The sequence below is a fragment of the Homo sapiens genome, chromosome 7 (assembly GCF_000001405.40).
Source record: "Homo sapiens chromosome 7, GRCh38.p14 Primary Assembly".
Classification (NCBI taxonomy): domain Eukaryota; kingdom Metazoa; phylum Chordata; class Mammalia; order Primates; family Hominidae; genus Homo; species Homo sapiens.
Genome location: NC_000007.14, coordinates 44,253,646 through 44,276,792, shown reverse-complemented (window position 1 = coordinate 44,276,792; position 23,147 = coordinate 44,253,646). Strand labels below are relative to the sequence as shown.

The 23,147-nt window shown below is 57.4% G+C and overlaps 1 protein-coding gene across 35 annotated transcripts in view, besides 8 other annotated features; it reads left to right on the top strand.

Annotated features, from left to right (window-relative positions):
* Positions 1-23,147, top strand: part of CAMK2B (calcium/calmodulin dependent protein kinase II beta) — a 108,860-nt gene that overhangs the window by 49,221 nt on the left and 36,492 nt on the right. For all 35 annotated transcript variants that reach the window (XM_011515559.3, NM_172084.3, XM_017012665.2 and 32 more), the window contains exons 3-5: positions 13,729-13,788; positions 17,867-17,921; positions 22,186-22,251. Coding sequence is in view for 34 of the 35 variants with exons in the window: in NM_172084.3 (NP_742081.1) it covers positions 13,729-13,788; positions 17,867-17,921; positions 22,186-22,251 (181 nt within the window). In the remaining variant the exon portion in view is untranslated. The remainder of the gene's footprint in view (positions 1-13,728; positions 13,789-17,866; positions 17,922-22,185; positions 22,252-23,147) is intronic.
* Positions 4,226-4,726: an enhancer, noted in NCBI's record as "H3K4me1 hESC enhancer chr7:44311666-44312166 (GRCh37/hg19 assembly coordinates)". NCBI's record gives its function as "activates a minimal SCP1, AML or CMV promoter by ChIP-STARR-seq in naive H9 embryonic stem cells {active_cell/tissue: H9 hESC(naive)}" and the evidence as "EXISTENCE:reporter gene assay evidence [ECO:0000049][PMID:30033119]".
* Positions 8,184-8,683: an enhancer, noted in NCBI's record as "H3K4me1 hESC enhancer chr7:44307709-44308208 (GRCh37/hg19 assembly coordinates)". NCBI's record gives its function as "activates a minimal SCP1, AML or CMV promoter by ChIP-STARR-seq in naive H9 embryonic stem cells {active_cell/tissue: H9 hESC(naive)}" and the evidence as "EXISTENCE:reporter gene assay evidence [ECO:0000049][PMID:30033119]".
* Positions 8,684-9,185: an enhancer, noted in NCBI's record as "H3K4me1 hESC enhancer chr7:44307207-44307708 (GRCh37/hg19 assembly coordinates)". NCBI's record gives its function as "activates a minimal SCP1, AML or CMV promoter by ChIP-STARR-seq in naive H9 embryonic stem cells {active_cell/tissue: H9 hESC(naive)}" and the evidence as "EXISTENCE:reporter gene assay evidence [ECO:0000049][PMID:30033119]".
* Positions 12,072-12,903: an enhancer, noted in NCBI's record as "H3K4me1 hESC enhancer chr7:44303489-44304320 (GRCh37/hg19 assembly coordinates)". NCBI's record gives its function as "activates a minimal SCP1, AML or CMV promoter by ChIP-STARR-seq in primed H9 embryonic stem cells {active_cell/tissue: H9 hESC(primed)}" and the evidence as "EXISTENCE:reporter gene assay evidence [ECO:0000049][PMID:30033119]".
* Positions 12,904-13,735: an enhancer, noted in NCBI's record as "H3K4me1 hESC enhancer chr7:44302657-44303488 (GRCh37/hg19 assembly coordinates)". NCBI's record gives its function as "activates a minimal SCP1, AML or CMV promoter by ChIP-STARR-seq in primed H9 embryonic stem cells {active_cell/tissue: H9 hESC(primed)}" and the evidence as "EXISTENCE:reporter gene assay evidence [ECO:0000049][PMID:30033119]".
* Positions 14,134-14,633: an enhancer, noted in NCBI's record as "H3K4me1 hESC enhancer chr7:44301759-44302258 (GRCh37/hg19 assembly coordinates)". NCBI's record gives its function as "activates a minimal SCP1, AML or CMV promoter by ChIP-STARR-seq in primed H9 embryonic stem cells {active_cell/tissue: H9 hESC(primed)}" and the evidence as "EXISTENCE:reporter gene assay evidence [ECO:0000049][PMID:30033119]".
* Positions 17,988-18,037: an enhancer, noted in NCBI's record as "active region_25937". NCBI's record gives its function as "activates an Ori minimal core promoter by ATAC-STARR-seq in GM12878 lymphoblastoid cells {active_cell/tissue: GM12878}" and the evidence as "EXISTENCE:reporter gene assay evidence [ECO:0000049][PMID:35858748]".
* Positions 18,918-18,997: an enhancer, noted in NCBI's record as "active region_25936". NCBI's record gives its function as "activates an Ori minimal core promoter by ATAC-STARR-seq in GM12878 lymphoblastoid cells {active_cell/tissue: GM12878}" and the evidence as "EXISTENCE:reporter gene assay evidence [ECO:0000049][PMID:35858748]".

Genomic DNA, 23,147 nt, shown 5'->3' with positions numbered 1-23,147 from the left:
AGGCAGGCCGAGGGTTCGGCCAGCGTGGGGCTCCCAGGTGGGGCTGACCTCACAAGTGGGGCTCACCTCCCAGGCCCGAGGCTCACCCCACAGAGAGATCAGTATCACCACTGTCCTCTTCCTGCCTGCAGGCCCATGCGCAGCTCACCCCAGCTCCCTTTCTGGGGCACCTGGTCTCCCCAGGGACCCTTCTGTCTTGGGGGGACACTCCCTGCCCAAAGGCATGATGGACAGGGACCATCTTGAGGTCTCTGATCATTGGGGCTGGGGCTGAGCCCGCACCCCAGGGAAGCCTGCACGCCCCCCCTTTCCCCAGCCAGAAGCCTGCCTGCCTGGGACCCCTTTGTGCAGTGGGTGGCGGGGGGGTGCTGCCTCCGGGGCTTTCCTACTGCAGCCGGTACTGCAGTTTTCTTGTGGCTCCCGCGCAATCCACAGCCAGAAAACGACCCCTGCTCAGGGGGATAATGAGTGCCTGGTCGGCAGAATCCGCGGAACTGGGTTAATAGAGGACAAGGCGCCGCATTGCAGGGACAGCTGAGCATGCGCCTGTGGCAGCAGCACCCCTCCCAGCCCAGGGACCCTCCCCTCCCAGCCTGGAGACCCGCCCCTTTCCCTCCTCCCCGGCTCAGGGGCCCTGCCCTCCTCTCTTCTCCCCTCCCCCTGCCCCTCTTTCCCCTCTGGCTTCTCTCCCCACCTCCTCCCTGCTGGGAGACCTCCTCTGCTTCCCTACCCTAACCTCCCTGGGTGGCTTCCAGCCTGAGGGAACAGCTTTAGAGCTTGGACCCCCACCGAACTCTTGGCCCACTCTGCCTTTAAGTTTGCTCTCTAGGGATTTGGAGGGTGGCCAGGAATTGGGGGAATCCCTGGGAAACGCCCCCTCCCCTGCCCCAGGGTCAGCCTTCAACAGGATGGGGATGGTCCCTGAATTGGGATTATGGGGAAGGGACCCTGCATCCAGGTACAGAAGGAGTTAGGGGAGCTGGGAGGCAGGCCTTCTGGGGGCTCAGTGGGGGCACCGCATGCCTGCCCCTCCCAGGGGGAGGGCCACCTAGGAGCAATGAAGGAACGAGGCTAGGCTGCTGGATTTAGCAGTTAAGTATGATTTACAATCAAAAGATGTAAAATAAGCACTGTGTGTCCCAAATTGCGTGGGACACACTTACTTAAACTAAAAATTATTTGTTGTGTATCTGAAATTGAGACAAACTTATACCGAAAACAAATTTTGTCCTTTGTCATTTAACTGGGCACCCTGTGTTTTATCTGGCAATGCTCAGCCAGACTGTTAAGAGACAGGACTTTGTCATTACTTTGGAAACTGAATTGGTTTAATCGAAGGCTTCTAGAAAGCGGCCCTGAAGAGGACCAGGAGAACAGGGAGCCGGGCTGCGCGGAGGGTGCTGGCCCTTGCTGGCCCCATCTGTCAGGTGGAGAAAGGGTGGGCAGCATCATGACCTCCTGCTCTCTGGTTCTGGGTGTGGCCCTGTGTAGACACCGAGTCCCAAAACCTGCCGGTCAGGGTCCAATGCCAGGTTCCTGAGCCTCCATGACCCCTGGGGAAGACAAATGCATCCTGAACTGGATGCAGGAGCAGGGCCCACCCTGTTGGCATTTGGAGGGGGTGAGGGAGGAACCCCTGAGCCAGGGAAGGGAGGGAGGGGAGGGGAGGAGTTGTCACGGAGGACCCCTTTGCGTCCTTCCGCATTTCCAGCCACTCATCTTGCAGGGTCAGGGGCTTGTCAGTGGCAGAAAAGGCTCCCGGCAGAGGGGAGACCTGGGAGCTGGGTTCTGGCCCCTAAAGACCATCGCCTCCCTGCCTCACTCCTCTTTTCTGTAAAATAGATGGAGGGTTGCCCTCCATGCTGCCTGGCTTTTCTAGCACTGACAGTTCCCACATCTGGTGGGATCCTTACTTCCAGGCTCTGCCGGTTCCAGGAGGTGAGTGAGGATTGGGGAGATGGCTGAACCCACAGCCTGTGGGCCCAAGGTTTGAAGACCTGGTTCTGCCAGTGTGGGCACAGCCCCCTCCCCTGGTCCTTCCTGCTCACCGCCCCTTGCTCCCTCCAGGCCACCCGCCAGCAGACTGTAGGCCCAGCAAGGGCAGGCCTCCTGCTTTGCACATAGTACCTCCTTAATAAACAGAGTTGAACAGGTGGGAGGAGAAGAGTGTTTTGAAGATTCCACTTAAGGACTGAGCTGGTTGGGGAGTGGTAGTGACCACCGATGGAAGGAGAAGGGGATTCGGAGTGCCCAGGTGCCCGGGACGACTTGGGCAGGAGCGGGGAAGCCCGAAAGGTGCGGGTTTGAGGCCTGGGTGGGAACCGAGCTTGGGAATGGCAGAGCTTTGGTCTCTGTTGTGCTGGTCTGGCTGCTGATGGGAAAGTCTGGAGAGCTGGAGATCCAGGGCAAAGCTCGAGGGGGAACAGCTGCAGGGAGCCCTGGAAGGTCCTGGGGGCCCTGGTTGTGTGTCTCCCCTGTGGGCAGCCACGGTCCTCTGTCCCCAGGGCCAGAAGCTGCAGTCCTGTGACAGGTCTGCACAGCGGCTCTGAGGTCACGATGTTTCCATTGTCTGCATGTCACCTGGGGGAGCCCCGACTCCAGCTCGGTGTGGAGTGATTAGCCTACAGAAGGTCATGGAGGGTTTATTGAGGTTATTGGGGGTTAGAAGAGCCCCGTGGGTGAATGTGAGGGCCTCAGCCTCTCCTGCTGGGGAGGGCGGATGTGTGCAGATGCTCTCATCCGGAGGTGGTAGGGGGCATTCTGGAAAGGGCCTGATAGCAGTGTGCGGGACTGCTGGCCACTTGCTTCTGTTGCACAGTCCTCTCTGTTCTTTCTCCTCAATACCTTAAAAAATGTGGCAGTGCTTGCCCCGGACTGTGCTCCCTGGCCTCGGGCTGTGCTCCCTGGCCTTGGGCCTCGGGCTGGGTTGGGTCCCCAGGCATCTGCTCAGGGATGAGTGGGAACCTCCGGGCAGCTGTCCACTCTCTGAAAAGGACAAAAAGGACATGGACAGAGTTGGGGGCAGAGGATGAGGCTGGACATAAGGCCACAGTGGTCAAGAGTGCAGCCCTGGAGTCTGGGCCTTATTTTTGAGAGTAGGACCCTGACAGGGTGGGTCCTGCACCCCCAGGGGCTGGCCTGAGCCAGTGTCCCGGCTGTCTCCGGAGGAAGCCAAGCTGGTGTCTATGGAGAGATGGGCTTTGGTGGGACGTGTATGTGTCGGGGGTGGGGGGACCCCAGGTGGAGGACCCATCGCACCAGGGCTGGGAGGGATGGCCTAGCAAGCCCCTCCTGTCACTGTGCCTGCCCTGTGGGGGGCCACCGTTGTTTTCCTAGACTGGAGAGTCTAGGCACCTTGGTTTAAATCTCCTCCTACTCACCCGATTTGTGAGCACGGGAGTCCTGTCCTGGGGTTACGGGGATGACTGAACACAAGACACCCAGCACTGGATGGATGAGTGGATGACATTTTATTGTCACATATACTCAGAGCCCAGAGAGGAGGATACTGCACTCAGGACACAGTGAACAGGCAGGGGCTGGGGAGGCAGGCTTTGGAGTAACAACGAGGTGAGGTGGCCCCTGGTTCCCACCAGAGGCAGTTTCGGCTGGTTTGAATAATTCCATGGGTTGGCAGAGAGCTGCATCTCACTACTCAGGCATAAGCAGGAGCTGTGCCCAGTCCTTGTGGGGAGGACGCTTGCCTGGGTGGGTACTTAGCCACAGCAGCAGAGTCCGGTGGGGGACATGAAGCTAGGCTGTTCAGGGCCTTCCTGGTTTCACTGGGTGTCAAGGTAGCACGTAATGTTGTTGGCTTTAACTTTAGGCCTTAAACCATAGCCCTGCACAAAATGCCACAGCATGGCAGTGACAGGGAAGGAATTCCAAGCCACACCTCCGTTTCAAAGCTGAGCTGCACCCCGCAAGCTGGAGGATGGTTCTGATCCTGAAAAGGGCACTGGGAATGGGGCCCCAGCTGAAAGGCCAAGTGGACCCCATGGAGGGAAGATGCTGTGGACCCCCCAGTGTGTAGCCTGGAAGTGGCCCTACTGCAGCCACTGGCCTGGCCTGGGCTCCCAGAATGGCTATGTTCATCCCCATATGGCTGGCAAATAGTGACGAGGCCCTCGGCTCCAGCTCCGTCATGCATGTTCATGCAGAGGGGCAGGGTGCTGCCGACATGGTTGCCAGGGTCCCTGGGAGCCCTGACCTTGAGGCAGCAGGCAGCTGCAGGATGTGTCCACAGGTGCTTCTTGCGGGTGGTGGAGCTGCTGGCGGGTTAATTGCTGGTTGTCGTGTTGCCTTTTAAAAACAAAACATGCACAGAAAGCCACAGCAAGAGCCGCCCTCTTGCATCTTCATCACAGGGCTCAGCCTCCCGGGGCTGCCCAGGCCTGACTGGATCACTTGGGACCCCAAGAGGTGCTGGGTGCCCAGGAGGAGAGGGGTGTCTGCCTCCACCGCCTACCCCCTTCGACACCACCTCACCTTTTCTGGTAGACTTGTGCTGCCCTCAGAGGATCCTGACCTGGCCCCCAGACCTTGGGCCGGGGTTATTCCTGCCTCAGACCTACCACTGGGCTCCCCAAGTCCTCGCTGCCCACCCCCCCAATTCCCCGCCCCAGATCTCCAGAGGGAGAGCAGGCTTGTCCAGCCCACTATGGCAGCATCTGAAGGGCTCCGAGAAGTCCCGCCGGAAAGAAAATGAAGAGGGGGCTGCTCCCGAGGCTCCAAGTGGGGCCTCCTGTGACGGGGTCCAGCTCCACTTCTACCCAGTCTCCTTGCTCCCATGCCCCCATCTGAAAGCTGGGGTGACGCAGCAACAGCCCTGTTTCATGGGTGCCATGAGCAGCTCACAGGCCTGCCCAGAGCCAGTCCTCAGCACACAGAAGTCACTACCCTGAAGGGACTCATAGGGTCATTCTCAAGGAGCAGTTTTCCTTTTAGGAGGAATGGCCGGGACCTGCCCATGGCCTCCTTTCAGCCCCTAAACCGGCCTGCACCCTGAGACTGGATGGGCAGTCCCTGCCGCATGGCCCAAGCTGACTTTGGGGTCAGGACTGGTTCTACTTCACATTTACCAGCCAGGGAGGAGAGTCAGAGGAGAGGGGCTGCTGGAAGCCACTCCTTCGTCCCCACCCAGCTGCCCAATCTGGTCTCAAATAAATCCAAGGTCAGTGCTACCAAGGGACTTGCTGGCAGCCCAGGTTGGCAAGTGCTGGCCCCAAGATGTGAGCTGGCCTCTGCCTGCCCCACCCCACAGCCAATGCCCACTTTTCTGTCACCAGAGTCTGTAGGAGCCAGCCAGGTCATGGCCAAACAGAATTAAAGACCAGACCCCACTGGCCTGGTGTCAAGGCCCAGGATGTCCTATCAGGTTCTGGCCGAGCTGCTCAGTGCCACACAGGGCTGCGCTTGGCTCCCAAGTACTCTGTCACTAGTGTGCGAGCGCAGTCAAGTTTAGCCTTGAAGTGAATTGGGACGCTTGAGTTAAGTGTGTTGGTACCAGGCAGGGTGCAGAGTGTGCCTGGCTGGTGTTTGATGTGGATGTTGGCGAGCTGTTTAAGAGTCTAGAGGGCCAGATGGTGGCTCATGCCTGTAATCCCAGCACTTTGGGAGGCTGAGGTGGGCGGATCAACTGAGGTCAGGAGTTCAAGACCAGCCTGGCCGACATGGTGAAACCCTGTCTCTACTAAAAATACAAAAATTAGCCAGGTGTGATGGCGCATACCTGTAATCCCAGCTACTGGAGAGGCTGACATGGGAGAATCACTTGAACCCGGGAGGTGGAGTTTGCAGTGAACCAAGATCATGCCCCTGTACTCTAGCCTGGGTGACAGAGAGAGACTCCATCAAAAAAAAGAAAAGAAAAGAAAAAGTCTAGAAAGTTCTCTCATGCCTGTGATGGTGCAGGTCGCTGAGACAGGTGTGCAGGTCACCTGGGGCTGATGGGTCTTGCCAATGTACTGACAGTGCAGGGAGGGGCTGCTGACCCCACCAAGGTCCAGAGTATTGGACAGATGTGTGCCCAGCTCTGTGGGGATGGGGGGTGGCTTTGGGGGCCCCTCTGTGCTGTGGCCCTCAAAGTGTCCTCTGGACAGGAACAGCGCTACTTGACAGGGCATCTCCTGAATCCATTTCATGGGAGGAAACTGAGGCCCCCGAGTGGGATTTGGATGCAGCCAGTTTCCTGGCCCAGGCCTTGGTGGCGTGCCACATCCCATAGCAGGCCCCTGCGTAGGGCCTGAGTTCTGGAGCATGGCGCTGACATCACAGCACCTTCAGCCAGACAGCCTCAGGCTTGGGTCAGAGCCCTGAGTCTGGTGTCCTTGCCACCCTAGTCCAGCGCACAGGTGGACCACCTGTCTTGATGTTGGTCTGTGGATTAGCCTGGAGGAGCAGAGCCCCAGGTAGCCCCAGCCCTGAGGAACCAGACGCTGGCACAGTACACAGCTTCTGGCCCATCCCTCCCCAGCCACTGCTTCCAGGCCAGGGCAGCTGGAGCAGAGCCCTTCTGCCATGTGCACCATCCCAGTGCCCTCCCCAGCTGGGCTGTGTGGTGGACAAGCAGAAGGGATTGTCCTTGAGGATCTCCTCCCAGGCATGAGGAAATGGGTGGAGAGCGCTGGTGCTAGTGGGGGGCCCCCAGTGATGGGCCCATGGGGGGTCTGGCAACCTCCCTCGGGGTGAGGCAGAGCTGCCTGGAATGGGGGGGGGGTACGTTCTTGAGCACCCACCCTGTGTCAGGCCCGTGTGGATTTCCACACACGATTCCATTTTCAGTCCAGCACAGTCCTGGGGCCAGATACCATTATTACAGCCATCTTCCAGATGAGGCCCAGGGAAGTGCCATCCCTTGTCCCAGGCCACGTGGTGGGCAGGACTCATGGCACCTAGGGAGCCCCACCCCTCAGCCCTCAGACCCTGGTGGCAGTGGTCCCAGGTGGCCCCAGCTGCATCCCCCAGCCAGCACAGAGCTTACCCGTTGGGCCTCCTCTCGGTCTCTGGGTCTGACAACTCCAGAGGCCCTTGGGCGAGAGGGGGAGGCAGCCCCTCCTGACACAGGTGGGCCTTGTGCCTCCCCCTCCTGCCCCTCCGCCGCCCCCGCCCAGTGCCCTGCAGTGTCCTCCTGGAGGTGCCAGCTCTGCTGTTTCTCCTGGTGGCTGGCGGGGGGCCCGGTGCCCACCCACGCCCTCCTGTTCCCCTTATCCCTGGTTCCTCTCACTCACCACCCCCCACCCCCTGCTGTGAGTCACCCACTGCCAGGGAGGAGGAGGGGCTGGGAGGGTGGAGGATGGCATAGGGGGCCTGGGTGGGCAGAGAAGCCTCTGCCAGCTCCATCCCGGACCCCTTCTTGGCTCTGGAGAAAGAAAGAGGAAATTATGGGAGCGAACATCAACGATTTACCAAACCATGTAACCTTAACTTGTCCTGTAAGACCCTCCTTCCCCCGCGGGGGGCACTGGTCGCACCATGGCCTCTGGGTGCTGTCCACTTGGGACACGAGGGGTCCCCGGAGCCATGCACAAGTGCGCCTTTGGGATGTTGAAGGCTACCCTGCCCCCACCAGGCCCCCAGCCTTGCCCTTTCAGCCCTGGCAGCTTTGAGCTCCTCTCTGTGCCTCAGTTTCCTCATCTTTGCCCTGTGCCTCACCCTGCAGATGCAGCAGGGTTGGTGTGAATGTCCTTCCCGTCAGCTCCATCTCTTCCATCGCCCTCAGCTGGCTTCTCTTTGTTCTTAGCTCAGGGGACCCTACAGCTCCCATGCTGATGAGGGTGGCGTGGCAGGAGGGGAGGAGCTCCCTCCACACCAGGAGAGGTTTGCAGTCTCTCCCCCACCACTCCTGGTCTTTCCGGGCATTTTTGGAATGAAATAGGTTAATGCCTGTAATGTGCCCAGAACAGACGGTGCCTGGCATGTGGCAGGTGCTCCAGGATGGGTCACGTGGCTGTGCCCATGTCCCGGTCCTGTCTCTTCCTGCACTTGGCTGTGGGCACCTTGAGGTGGCCCCTGCCCTGTCACCTTCATGGTGGTGGGTGCCAGCTGCCAACCCACCAGCACAGTAACAGCTTGGAGGAGCCCCCACTCCCCTACCCCATCCCTCAGAGCTCCATGCCAAGGCTTCGGGGGTCCTGTGGATCTGGGAATGGCTGCTGGTGGAGGACCTGTGGTCCCTGCTCCTGAGAGGCTGGACATCTAGGCAAGCATAACCCGACCTTGTCTTTCCCCATGAGCATGAGTGGTTTGCTTTGTTTGGGCCTCTGCAGGCAGGTAACCCAGACCAGCTGGGCTCTCAGTGTTTTGGAGAAGGCTGTGGGGTGAGGGAGGAGGGGAACCTTGTCACCTGGGCCCTTGAGCCCCTCCTGGTACTGGCGTGGCGTTGTCTCCCCTTCCTCTGTGATGTCGGCCTTGCTGCCCCCACAGCCAGCATCTGCAGGCTGTAAATATCAGATTCTGCATTGAGCAGAGGCTGCAGCCACCAGGCAGGCACCACCCACCAGCTCAGAGAGCAGCAGGGAAGGCAGACCAAATGGCATATCACAGAGAGCCCCTGCGCTTCAGCGAGAGGCCTTGGCTTTGGGTCCCAGCCCAGCAGCCTGCCCTGCGCAGTCCAGGGCGTCTTCGGCGTCCTGGGATGTGTGCGGGAGCGGGTGAGAAGCCTGCTGTAAGATGAGCTCAGCGTGGCTGTGCAGGGCTCGGCTGGGGGTGCTTCTCTTCCCTGTCTTTCAGTGGCCCCCAGCCTGCCTGTGCCTCAGCACTTGGCCCTACCTGTTGTGCGGACCTCGGGGGACACCCAGGTGCAGGTTTGGCAGGATGAATGGCCGGCAGGCCAGGGCTCTGTGCAGAGATTGTAGCCAAATCACCTAGAAAAGCTCCCAGGGCTCGGCATTCCCCGAGGGCTGGAATCTGAGGATGTCGCACTATCATTAGAATTAAGCAGGCAGGCGGATAATTGCAGGCTCCGGTTTAGCCTGATCTTTTTGAGGGCAATTGTTTATGGGGTTTTTTGTTGTTGTTGTTTTGGGGGTTTTTTGATAAATGCTTTTATGGGGGTATAAATGAATGCTGTATTTGATCTGTGGGATGTTTCTCTGGTAGAAGAAATAAATAGCAATGCTTTTGCCAGCGTCTCTCTTAGCCACCCCCTTGGGGAGCAGGTGTGTAAATGTGTACACACGTGTGCGCATGTGTAGAATTGCATCCACACTGAATGGGCCAGTCACCTTCTGGCTTAAATACAGGCCCACACACATACGCCCTTGCCTCCGTTTAGGGTGCAGATTTGCAAGATGCCCAAGCATTTAGGAGCTGGTTGAACTCATGAGTTCCCTCTCCAAGCTTCACATCAGAGCGGGTGTGAGAACCAAGTCTTTTTCCAGCATGAGTAGGCAAACTCCTACTCATCCTCTAAAACCCCACTGAAGCATCACCTCTTGAGTCTCCACAGGCAGAATCAGGGCCTGAGAGCACTCTGCTCATCACTCTGCTGTAACAAGGGGCACAGGCACTGCTGTCATTGGCTTTTTGTGCCCCAGGGACTGTCTGCCCTGGAACCCCAAGACCTTGGCCAGGGGTCTTGGGGTGGGAGAAGAAGAGGGAGGGCAAGAGGGCAGAGGGGTCTCCTCTTGATGGGGTGAGGTCCCCTGGAGGTCGGGAGGGGCTCAGCCTGCGTCCTCACTCCCCAGCTCCTGCCTTCTGTCCCACGGTCTATTTCAGAGGTTGTTCTTAGACTCCTTTAGGAAAACTCAGCATCACAGGGAACTGCAGTTCCCGGAGCCAGTGTGCACGTAGAGGTGCCGTGAGCCTGAGCCTGAGCCTGACATTGGCCGACGGGGAGAGGGGATTCAGCACCTTCTGAGGAGTTGACCAGGCACCGGCTGTTGGATGGGGTGGGTTCTTGGGGTTTCTTTGTCATTGGATTCACAACCTGCAGAGGTGTGGCACCTCTTCTGTGACTTCTGTGACACTGCCTGGCCCTGACAAGGACATCACCGTAGTGGGCATAGCCAGGGCTGGCCACTCAGGAGGCCTCTTGGGACCTCCTTCAGGAAGGGGTGCCCCGCGGGGGTCCTGGGGGCATTGATGGGGCCCTGGGCAGGTAGGGAGCCGCTGTTGGCAGACTTCCGGCTGTGTTCTCGCCACAGGCCTGCTGGCCTCGGGACCTGCTCAGTGGCCACTGCTCTGGTCTCCTGAGTTCAGCAGGTTCCCTGGGGACCAGAACCCCCCAGAATGAGGCTGGCAGGGAGGGATGAGCAAGATATGGTTGCTCCACTGTCTGGGGCAGGGAATAAGACCGAGCTGGAGGTTCCTCCAGATTCCGCTGTACTGTTTAGGGCCAGGGCACATTTCTTATGCACTGGATTGGGTTCAATTTAACTTACTTAACCTTGTCCATGACAAGGGGTTTACGGTGTTAATGTGGAAGCCAAGAATAATGTCCCTGGTTTTGTGGAAAGAAAATCATAGTATGTCCACAGAGTTAGGAAGCTGGATTCTGGCCTGCCCTGAGATGGGGCTGTCTGAGCCAGGTGGAGAGAGAACGCCTCTTCCTTGTGCCCCCTCCTTCTTGTGGCTTCTCAGTCCTATCCAGAGTCACATTATATCTGCTTAGATTTATTTTTTGCCCGAATTTTTAAAATTTAAGAGCAAATGCTACCATAGCAGATTTTATGAAACATCCTTGTCATATTGAATCAGTAGCTTGGTCACTGGAGACAGGATCAAAATCTTTTTTAAAAACAATGCTTTGCTAAATTATGGAAGTAACGCATGATCACTGTCAAAACTGGGGGAGGGGAAGTTAACGAATAAAACAACATTAGCCATAATCCTGCCACCGAGAGTGAAGCACTCGATACGACGTGTGTGTTTGTGTGTTACCAGCTTAGATCTTGTGTCATGGTTTATGGTTTCCAAGCGGCTCTCTGAGCTCTAACTTACTGCAGCTGCTGGGAGGAGGTGGTCGAGGTGCTGTTGTGGGTGTTACAGAAAGAGGACCAGTCAGCAACCTGTATGGCCACCATGAGTGGACACCTGGTGCCAGGACTGGACAGCCAGGTGCCCTTTCTTTACCCCACACAAATAATTATCTCCCTAAACACATGCTCAGGAATAGGTATCATTTTTGGGCTGGGGCTCAGCTCTTGGCGATGTTTCAGTAATGAAACACAGGCATATAAATTATCTGTGTCCCAGGAGAATGCGTTCATAATTGCATCTTTCTCCTGATTTGGATTTATGATTTTATTGATTTAACTCTAATCAGGCAATTTTTCAAAAGGAAACTACGTGCCCTGGTTCCACCGCATCTCCCTCCTAGGTCCTCCTTTCCCTCAGCCTGGCTCTGGCCCACACGTCCCGTGGCGATGTGTGGTCCTGGGCTTGGATCCTGTCCTGGGGAAAGATTAGCCATCAACTTTATTGGGACAAGTTGGAAAGGTGGAACGTGGATTGTAGCTTAGAGACATGAGTGTCATATCTGCATTCGATTTACTGAATCTGGGACCTGCACTGAGATTATGGAAGGGACACCCTCTCCTTATGAGACGCACCTGAGTGCTGCCTGGTGTTACACACGCGTCAGAAGAAGCGAGTGTGTTATATGGAAGCAGGGGCGGGGCAGGGAGATTGTACAGAAGTGCTGTACACGATTGCTCTGTACTGTTGTTGCAGTTTTTCTCTAAGTCTGAAAAATGTTCACAATCAGTTTAAGAAAGATACTAGGAAAGAAAACAATAACCCCGTGAACTCACCGTCCTGCACCCTGAGAGCCTCCCTCCTCCCACCCCAGAGGGATGGGGGTCAGGGGTGTTGCAAGAGTTGGTGCCCTGCTTTCCACTGGAGCCAGGCCTTGTGCATGGACCCCTCCCCTCCCCAGGTATGTCCAGTGTTGCTGGGTTTTGAGCTCCATGCAGATAGGGAAACGGAGCCCACACCATGTGTATTCTATTGTGACTATGTTTGATTTTTCCATTCTGATGCTGACAGACACTTGGGCTGGTTCCAGTTCCGCCATCACAAATCCCTGAGGCTCCTGGCACCTCAGCTCCCACTTCAGTGGGAGGGGAGAGGGGAGGGAGGGGGAGCAGGGACTGGAGTATTCTGGAAGACCGTGCAGTGCTTGCTGAGTTGGGTGTGCAGGTGGGAGAGGGAGCAGGTATGCCCTGGGCTTCCAGCAAAACAGCGGGATGGGGTCTGACTCCCTCCATGCCACCTGGAGGCTCTGCCAGATCCCTCTGAATCCCTCTCGTGGGATGCCAGGCGGCTGGGCTTGAAGCAGATGGCAGCCAGGTGGCCAGGGCAGGGAGACGAATGCCTGTCCTGGGAGGGGGGAGCCAGGGGATGCCGCTCCCAGAGACCTTCCCATCTGTAGGCGTGGCTTTCTCACTCAAGACATATGCGTGTTTGCAGGCATATCCTGTACCCCCAGGCTGCCACCACCACACCTGCTCCAGGGGAATTAACCCCAGACATGACTCAGCCAGTCCTCCCTTCCTGCAGGTGGACAAGTTTCTGCCAAGCACGGGGATCAGAGGTTTTAATGCTTCCCAAGGATGATTGTGAAGTTGCAGCCTCATTCTTTCCCTGCTCCTGGGTGCTACTGGGCATTCCTGGCGAAGGAGGCATCCCCGAGGTCTTGTCTTGTGTATTAATTATGTGCCCCCAGGCCCTGCTCACCTTTCCCATGGTGGGACTCAGCACTGGGCAGGTAGAGGGGGCTCCAGACACTGATGCCCCCTCCCCAGTCACGTCCTGAACTCTGAAATGCACTGGCCTTTCCTCGCAGCTCCCCACATGCGGCTGTGCCCACCGACTGCCTAGTTTCGACCTTTGTGTAAATAAGAGCACACTGTGGGTCCTCCTTTGCTGCTCGTTCCCTCCACACTATTCGGATGTGGGTGCTACCCGCACGTGGGGGTTGGCAGAGGGCTTTGATGCATTGCAGTATGGGACCCTGTGTGACTGCAGCGCATGGAGTCCTCCCTCTGTCAGTGGAAGTGTGGGGTTTTGGGTTTTGCTATTACAATCTCCATCAGTTTTTAAAAGCCTCCTGCCTCTATTTGAAATGTAAAATTTCTGGCAGATAAGTTGCTCCATCCTTTGGGGGCCAGTGGAGGGGCCACCCAAGGGGCACCAGTCACCTCCACGCCTCCGGTGTCCGGGGATCTGGGCCCCGCACCTTGTGGGGTGGGAGGAGAGCGGCCAGGGCAGGAGGGGCCACCTCCTGCTTCACCACCAGTTTACTCCTATCTCCCAGGCGAGGCCTCTCTGAGGCTTTCCCCTCCTCCTCCTGCCAGCCGGGCTCTGGGGCACACCCTCAACCCCCTCCCGGCCCCATTCTGACAGCCCCTCCCCTGCCTCGGAAGAACAAATTTGGCTTCAGCCAAAAGCTCCAAAGAGTATGGAATTAGGACAAATAAGTGGAGGACTAAATCAGTGCACCGCTGACTTAGAATCATCCAGGGAAACTTTTAGCCCCGAGTTAGCAGCGCTCACTACCCGAATGGGCCTCTCCACCCATCCCAAACACAAGCCGGCTGGTCCCTGCCCCAGCCTTGCCACCAGTGGCCCAGGGGGTGCCACGAAGGGTGTTCCCTTGGTGGGGGCACAACCACTCCTCTCGTCAGAGGCCCTGGCACACCCTTGTGGGCCTCTCCTGACATGGACGATCCCTGGGCCACCAGTTGCTGGCGCAGGAGGTGACGCCTTGTTTTTCCTGTCCCCCAGATCACCAGAAGCTGGAGAGAGAGGCTCGGATCTGCCGCCTTCTGAAGCATTCCAACATCGGTGAGCAGCCTGGGGTAGGGAGCGGGGATGGGTCCCCACCTTCTCCCGGACAGCAGCCCATTCCGGTTTCTCTATCAGACTTTCAAAGAGATGCAGAAAGACTTCCTTTTCTTCTCTGTTGAAATATCCCACCAGAAGCCCCTGAGGACGCCCCCTCTTCTCCCCTGACCTTGAGGACTTTGTCGTATGTGACATGATTCCCGGGGGTGCTCAGAGCCGGGGCAGCCCCAAGGTGGGGCTCTGGGTGCCCAGCTCCACCCGACTGGACAGGTCCCTTTCCCATCCCACTCTGTCCTTTGGGTCTTGTCGGTGGCATTGGTGCAGAGGAAGGTAAAGGACACATTCCTCACAGAGCCCTCTGCTGAGCCAGTGCCCAGCATGTGACCCCCATAACTCTGAGCCGCCATTCTGCTGAGAACACACAGGGGCCCCAACATTCTGTGGCCTCAAGAAAAGCCACAAGATGGCCCAATTACAAGGAAAAGAAAGACTGACCAAAGACCCCAGCACATGCTGTTCTCGGGCTGAGAGCCCCTGACTGTTTTCTTGCGCTGGCCCAGGGCTTCTGGAACTACAGTCTGGGGTCAGGTGACCCTGGCCCAGAGTCAGCTGCTCCACAGGGGTATCTGGAGCCTGGAGCCCAGGCCTTGCCTTTGTCGGGGAGCAGCCAGGAAACGCCCTAGGGACGGCAGCCGCTCTTGGCCTCGGAGGCACCTGGGGAGCTGTCAGGTGGATTTGGGGCCCTTTCCTCCAAAGCTCTGATTCACTTATGCCAGGAGGAGCCCAGGCATGCTTGTTCCAAAGGAACAGCTGGGGACCGGGAGCCTGTTTAGGAGCCTGGGGCATCCACACACTCACCTGGGCCTGGCTCCGAAGGTCGCTGAACCCTCATCACCTGGTTTAGGGGGCTGGAACCACCTCGCCTCATCTGATGCTTCACCAATGAGCTGGGCAGAGGGGCAGGTGCCCCATTGGACCCAGCAGGACCCCAGCATGGAAAGCGGCAGCCCCAACTCCAGGGCCCGGGGCCAGGCTGCAGCCCCAGGTGGGCTCTCAGGGGCCTGCTACTGCAGCTTAGCCCCTGACGAGATTTGCCGCTGCCCACCAACCCACTGCATCCAGACTGGACTCTTCACCCTGGTTCCTCTTAGTAACCCAGGACTTTATTTGTTTGCCACCTCTGTATGCTGCCCACAGTGTTATTTGCTTACTGTTTTTATTTAAATAGATTTCCTGACAATTCACTTTTTTACTTAGCCCTGTCTGTGAATTTGCCGTCTGATGTGCCAGTTAGGTTTTCTTTTAAACCATTAAATAAGTATATAACTATTTTTAAAAAGTTAAAAATGTTTTTTTTTAAAGTGTCCACATGCATACGGCCCAGACTCCCCACACAGACCCCCAGTGCTCCATCTGGCCTGAGCAACCTGCTTCCTGCCGAGGAGGTGGGATTTCCCCCACCAGCTGCCACCCCGGAGCCCATCTGCCTCTGCCCCACCCCACCAGGCCTGCATGGGGAGGTGGGTGCCTGAGGGCAGGGGCAGCCCCCACCATGAGATCAGCCCTGCAGCGCCCCCAGGGAGCAGTGAGGTACCTTCATAGATGACAGGGCCTCCCTTGGAGCTGCCCATGGGGGTTCTGCGGGGGGCATCTCCTCCATGGCCCCTGGGACCACCTCTGCTCTGAGTGTGTGATTTTCATGAAGCATGTCCCAGGTGGGGCAGCTCAGAGGGGCCAGCCTGCTGGGCCCCCAACTGGGCTTATTGGGCAGCCCCCACTGGAAAGGAGTGGGGAGGGGTGAGCTTTTTAACTCCAGAGATTTCACAGGCAAGTCCTAGAAGCAGGACGTTGGTGGGCCTCCCATGTCTTAGGGACGCAGAGGCCAGCCTGGGTAGAATGGGAGCCTAGGAGTGAAGAGAGGGTCCAGGGGACCTAGTGAGAGGGCATCCTTGCTCTTGGGACAGAAGCCAGCCAGAGAGGGGTGAGAGGGAAAGGGGACATTGGTTTCAGATGAGTGCCTTAGCTGGTGGAGTCCCTGCTTGGCAGAGGCCAGCGTCGGCTCACAGACAGCCCCGGTGGGTAAGAGTTGCCCTCCGCCCAGGGTGCTGACCCAGGACATGGTCTGGGGAATACCTTGCTCTTTGAGAATGGGGCTTGGTGGGGGCAGAGAGGAGAAGGCTGGGCTGCTGGGCCTGAGGCAGAGAAGTGGAGCAGGTCTTTCTGCACTGGGCTTGAAAAAACCCCAGGACTCTTAAGTGGGCCCCAGACCCTGGTGCTGAGTGTTGGTCACCTGGGATTCTTCACACTCAGGTGATGATGGTGACAGTGATGGTCACAGAACTGTGGTTTACCTAGTGCTCACTGTCTCAGAGCACCACAAAGGTTACATAATTGATCTTCACGGCCACCCTGTGAAGAGGTGCTATTTATCCTATTTCATAGAGGGGCAGATTGAGGCTTAGATGGGCTGAGCAACCTGCCCCAGGTCACACAGCCAGTGCAAGTGGCAGGGGCTGGGCTTGCCCTATATTTTCTGATTCTGTGGAGGCTTCTGGGGCCTGGCCTGCCCTTGGTGGAGGGCATTTTGCCTGAGGTTTAGGAGCTAAGGAGGGCCATTGGTATGGGGCTGCTGGAGTCCAGGAATCTGCAAGGTGAGGCCTAGGCCCCAGAAGCCACATGGAGTTCCTGGATGTAAGGACGCTATCAGGCTGGGCCCCTGGGAGAACCAGAGCCAGAGGAGGGAGGGCACTGGCAGCCAGTTAGAAACTGGGACAGCGCCGGAGCATGCAAGGAAGGGGGGCTGCTTGTGCCTGAGGCCCAGGGACCTGCGAACCTAGGAGAAGGTGGCTACGTCTTACTGTCTTACCCATTCAGCGTCTGTGGCCCAGTCTCAAGTGGTAGAGGAGAGCCACACCTCAGAGGTTCATCTCTCCAAGACTTGAGGACTGGAGGGAATAAGGCTGGTGCAGTGCAGGCCCTCAAGCCAGACTGCCCGCTGAGTCCACAGCCCTATTCTGCCTTTTGTGAGCTGTGTGACTATCAGCTGCTTACCTAACCTCCCTGTGCTTCAGCTTCCTCATCTGTAACTTCTCGGGGTGGTTGGGAAGGTTAAATGAAATAACACACACAAAGTGCTTAGAACAGCCCTAGCGTGTTGGCTGTCGTCGTCCTCGTTGTTCTAGCAATCATCAGAACCGGCACGTGGGAGAGTGTCCAAAATGAGTCATTCCTAGAAAATATTTGCTGCTTAGTACAGGGCACATCTCCAGCTCAAGGAAAAGCAGGCCTTGAGGTTGCTTGCTTTGTGCTGAAATCACTCACTGTTCCCTCGCCTCTTCATCCGCTTGTTCATTCATCACATCCTGACCAGCTCCTGCCCTGCGCCAGGCAGAGTTCCAGGGCCAGGCACGCTTCACATAGATTGTCATGGGAAGTTGTGCAAGGAGGAAGGAGGGAATGATGGTGGTCCATCCTGCTGACCATGCCAGCTCTGGAATTGGAGCTCAGGGCCCAAAATTTTGGATGATGTTGCATCAGGCAGGGACCCTGCCACCAGCCTGTGCTGGCAGGACACAGCGGAGACACAGAGCCTGAAGGCAGAAGGCAGCCCTGGGAAGACCCAGGGTGAATAATGAGTGGTTTTTGTCCCAGCTTCTCCTCATGTGGAGCTGCACGGCAGCTCCTTTCTGGGGTTTGGAGGTGTGAGCTCCTCCTGTTGATCTCCGTGGTGTTTGGGAGCAGCTGAGGCCCAGGCTGGGACCAAAAGGACCTGGTCTCTCTCTGGCAGAAGGAGACAGGTGACCAGACTGGCAGCGGAGGGTGAGGCACTGGCAGCTGAGGGCAGTGGCACTGCCCTGAGGCCCTGTGGGTGCTCGCTGGGTGGCCAGCTGGCCCGCAGGGCCCAAAGCACTCTGCTCAGCCCTGCCCTCTGGCCTGCCCACCCGGGCCCTACCCAGCCCGATCCTCTGGGCAGCCCTAGGGCTTACACCGCTGGTGGTGTGCCTGGACAGGTACGGAGGCAGGCAGGAGGTGTGTCCTGGGCTATTGCCAGCCCCTCATGGCTTCTCTGTCCCCACAGTGCGTCTCCACGACAGCATCTCCGAGGAGGGCTTCCACTACCTGGTCTTCGATCTGTAAGTTCCAGAGCTGGGGACTCTCGCTGCACTCACTCCCAGCCTTGGCTCAGGGTGGGATCTGCAGCCTCCCCAGCCCCAGGGAATAGTCCCTACCCGTGGGCTGGCCACTCCCTTGAGTGTGCTTCTGCTGCTGGTCCCCTTGCTCCAAGCTGTGCCCAGCCTAGCTTCCCTCGCCTCCCCTCATTTGCTTTGCACTAGGGTTACTGAGGCCCACAGAGGCAGGGCTGACATCCTGGACTCCCCCTCTCCTCCACACAGAACAGGGCACACTGGAGGCAGCGGGTGGGTGGACCCCAGAGGAATAGTCAGTCAGCAGCTGCATTCACCTTCCTTTCCTTGGTGCCCTCATCCCAGCTGGACTGGGGCACCACTGGCTGGCGTGAGTGCACATGTGTGTGTTTATGAGTGTGGCTGTGAAATGTGAGCACGTGCACCTGTATGTATGTGTGTGGGTGTTTGCACGTGGGGGCGCGTGAGCACATGAAATCAGGGTCCATATGGGTGGGGATGTGCATACATGTGCATGTGTATTGTGTGAATGTATGAGTGAGCGTGTGGAGGTGTGTGCATGTGGGTACGCTGGCACAAGTGTATGCATGCACGTTTGCATGTGTGTGCATGCATGTGTATGTGTGTGTTTGCATGAATGTGCATGTGTGAGTGTTTCATGAGTGCGTGTGCAGTAGCTCAGTGAGAAGGTGTCTGGGGCCGCTGCCGCCTCTCACTTCCTGCCGGATTTAGAAGCAGTGATCTCATCTCCCTCACTTTTGACAGTTCCTGCTAAGCAGCGCTATATTTAGCTGTCTGTGAGTCAGTGCTGTTCCAGGACCCTGACCTGGGCAAGGGCCCATAGGCCTTAGCCTGCCCCTGTGGCCTCCAGGCGGCCACACAGCCAGAGAAGCCCAGCCTTGGTGCTATTGCCATGGTTACCCCAGGCCCTCCCCATGGCTGCTGTGAGCGTGCAGGCCGAGCAGAGACAGGACACGCCTGCGTGGGGGCTGCCCTCTCAGCTCCTCCTTCCTCAAGTGACAGACGTCAGGCCATGGCACATGTAGGCCTGAGGAGGCCTCTGTCCATGTGAGGTTCTCTGGCCTAGAGAAGCTGAGACTGTCCCTGCAGGGGCTTGGCCACCTCTCAGGTTCCCCTGCATGTTCCACAAGACACCAACTCAAATCACCAGCCAGGTGACTGGGGCTGACCCAGGACACAGTTGCCACTGCCTGGCTGAGGCTGTGTCCTGAAACGTCTGTCCTGTGGCCCTGGGGAGCTGGCAGGCTTGCTGCCACACCTGTGTGCCCCAGCACACCTCCACCAGCCTCTTTTCCCAGGAAATGGAGACTGTGGGGTGGGGGGTGGTCCGATCCAGGGCCCTTGGTGGCCAACAGATGGCTGCATGTGTTACAGGAGCCGAGGAGGAGAAAGGGTGGTGTGTTCGTGCATGTGTGTGTGCCCATTTGAGAGACTCTCATGTCTCCCGCCTTGCCAAGCACATGCCAGGCAGGTGTCATTGGAGGCCCTGAGGCAGGCTGGGAAGAGGAGATTGGCTGGCGAGTCAGGAAGGACCCTCCATGTCTTCCCCACCAACCTCCATGGCCCCTGTGCCTCAGCCAGCCTCCAGGCCAGCAGAGGGCCGGGACAGCAGTTTCTGGAGTTGGCTGGCATTGCCCTCAGGAGGCCCTGAGGCCCCATAGTAGTTTGGGAACTCTGTGGATTCTGGGGGATTGACAGATATCCCCACTCCCCTTGCTTGGGAATGTCACAGGGCTTGAGAACCAGGCCTGGGAGTAGAGGGTCTCACACACACCTGCACGCCCAGAGGACAGAAGCTCCCATAGGCGCCATGGCTGAAGCCAAGAATCAGCCATGTGTCCCCCACAGCCTAAGGAAAGGGGGCCATGGAGTCATATGTGTGCCTTCCCGGACTGTGTCCCTCCTGGGCCAGCACTGAGTTTCCCAAACTCCCCACAGCAACCAACGTGGGTGGAGGAGCAAACTCCCTTCCCTGAAACTGAACCACTAGATGGCCCTGGCCAGGGAGTCCCAGGTGCCCACCAGCCCAAACTACAGCTTCCTGAGCACACAGAGCACACCAGAGGGCCTGCATCAGCCCTAGTGAGGCACCCCTTGGAGCGACTCTGGGCTGCAGCCCTGGCTCAAGACCGTAAGGCCTTTTAGCCACTGTTCTGTGCCTGGACTCGGCGTCTGCAGAGCCTAATCTGTGTTCAGTGTGTGCCAAGACCTAAACAGTTATAGCACAACACTGGGGCATGCCAGGCCCTTGCCTGGGCTAGATGTGGGTTTTGATCCTCCTGCCCAATGCACATGTATACACAAGCACACATATGTACAAACATGCACACATGTGTGCGCATGAACAAACTGCTCTACAAGTGCACAAGGGCACACACAGGCACACAGTTGTACACACATGCACACAGGCACACATGCAAAACAATATACATGAACATGAGTGCACGCATGGGCACACATAGGTACAGACACACAGACACACATGCACATGTGCTCACATGCACAAGCCAGTATACATGTACACAAGGGCACACACAGGCATCCACACATGTGAACACGTGCACACACACACCCTCACACGGACAGGCCAAGCTCAGGAGCCCGGCCAGATGACCCTGGGAAGGGCCCCGTCAACACTGTTTTGTTTCCTTGTGGTCGGTGTGGTGGTTGATTGGCTGTAGAAATGTGCTGGCCCATGAGGAGTGAGAGGAGAGGCAGGCAGAGGAGTGAGCGAGGGTGAGCAGAGCTCCAGGTCACATGCCAGGTGCTGGTCGGGGACACAGAACAGCAGAACCAGTCAGGCAACAGAGGCAGAGCCCCTGCCCCCAGCCCCAGCCTGGACAGAAAAATGGGGAAAGGAAAGGGAACACCCAGTCCTTTAATGCCCTGCTAGGTGCCAGGGACTTGGGTGTCTTCCCAGTGCATTTCACCCTCACATTGCTCGAAGGATTTTGAGGGGATTCAATGGGATCATCAGGGCATGCGTTTAGCTGGAGCAGGGGTGAGCCGACATTCAACACATGCTCACTTTTCTTTTTCTCCAGTGCTGAGAGAGCACCCACATGTGCCAAGGTCACATGTTCAACAGATCCACTCCCTGGGTCTTCCCTGCCATGGACCAGCCCAGCCCCAAGTGCTGGGCCCAAAAATGAGGAAGACCTAAGCCCTACATTCCAGAACCAATGGGGAAAACTGCCAGGCAGATAGAGAAGCCACAGCACCTGGGCAGTGCAGTGGAGCAGGCGGGGGGATGGGGAAGAGGGTGCGGAGGCAGAGGAGGGGCTTGGACCCCACAGGCCTGCCCCACACATAGGGTCACAGGAAGTGGTGTGGGAGCAGTGACCCTAACCTTCTCAGGGGTGACAGCTTCTAGGGGAGTCTACCAGCAGACTCAAGCAGGCTAAGTGTGTGAGGGGCTTGGGCAGACCTGCAGAGGGCTCCGTCCTACTCCCCTGCCGTGCATCCAGCCCCTCCACCTTTTTGTTCCATGCCCACATTACCCGGCTCCCAGAGGCCCTTCAGATTGTGGCTTCTGCTCACAGGGTCTATCCTGACCATAGGGCCCAATGACTACTCACTGGGTGGAGACACAGGGCAGGAGAGTGGGCAGAGACCTCCCTTCTGCCTGTCATCTCTGTTCTCTTCCTAGAGATGGGACCTCGAACACCTCAAGACCCTGCGCCACCAAGGAGACCAGATTTAGGCACCGTGTCTTTAGGCTCTGATCCTGTGCGAGGGCCACCACTCTGGCCCTAAGTGGGGGTGGGAGAGTATTGAGGAGGGGAAACCAGATCTTCTCAGACTTGGAATTTGAGTCACAAGGCCTGGGTGTAACAATGCAGACCCTGAGACAAAGCTCCTGTGCTGCCCACTCTGGGCAAGTCACCAAATCTTTGAAATTTGTTTTCTCATCCATAAAAATGGAGTATAATCGTGGCCAAAGTCACAGAGTGGTTGTGAGGACTGAAATGTTAAATGTCATTATAGATAAGTAAGCACTAGTAAGCTGTCAGTCCCAAGTGATGGTAATACGGTGGAGGTGGTGGTGCTGGTGATGGTGGTAGTTGGTGGTGGTGATGATTGTGATGATGCTGGTGATGGATGGTGACATTAGTGATGATGGGAGTGATGGTGATGATAGTGGTGATGGTGGTGGTGGTAGTAATGGAGGTGACAGTGCAGTGTGACAGGGGTCTCCAGAATCTGTGACCCCTTCATGCTTCTCCCATAGGGTCACTGGTGGGGAGCTCTTTGAAGACATTGTGGCGAGAGAGTACTACAGCGAGGCTGATGCCAGGTGGGTGCAGAGCCCTCACGCTGTCCTGTCCCTCTTCCTTTATACCCTCACCATCCCTCCTTCACCCACTCCTGCTGCTCTTTCTAACCCACGTCTGGTGCTGAGCATCCCTGCTCACCCACACCCCAGAGCGATGGGCATGAAGCCAAAGGAAACTTGTAACCTCAGCGCAGAGCCAAGAGGCCACCTCCCCTCCACGCCCAAGGCCAGGTTCAGAGGGCTTGGCCCTGGGTCTGTGGGCCTCCCAGTGTGAGGATGGAATGGAGGAACTTGGGCTCTATCCAGGTGGGGCTTCCCGTGGACCCTCAGGCAGCCCTTCCCACAAGGCTGACCCTCCCCGGGGGGATGAAGAGGGACAGATGGTCTCAGAGATGACTGTTTGTGGCCCGGCTGCTGGAGACCAGATTGAGGGATGGCAGATGTCAGCTGGGGAGGTGACAGGGCCCTGTCCCTGGAAGCATAGGCCACTGGTAGCCTGCTGTGGCCCAGGCCAGATGCCACCCTGACACCTGACAAGGATGTCTCTCGTAACAGTACATCTCACCTCAGGGACAGCTGACAGCATTACTCCCTGCCCACTGGGCTCTGCCCACCCTGCTCTGCCACAGAGATGTGTATTTAAAAAAAAAAAAAAAAAAAACTGAGGCCAGGCATGGTAGCTCACACCTGTAATCCTAACATTTTGGGAGGCCAAGACAGGAGGATTGCTTGAGGCTAGGAGTTTGAGACTAGCCTGGGCAATATAATGAGACCCCCTCTCTACCAAAAACTTAAAAAAAAGTAGCCAGGCATGGTGGCACACATGCACATCAGCCACTTGGGAAGCTGAGATGGGAGGATGGTTTGAGCCCAGGAGTTCAAAGTTGCAGTGAGCCGAGATTGTGCCACTGCACTCC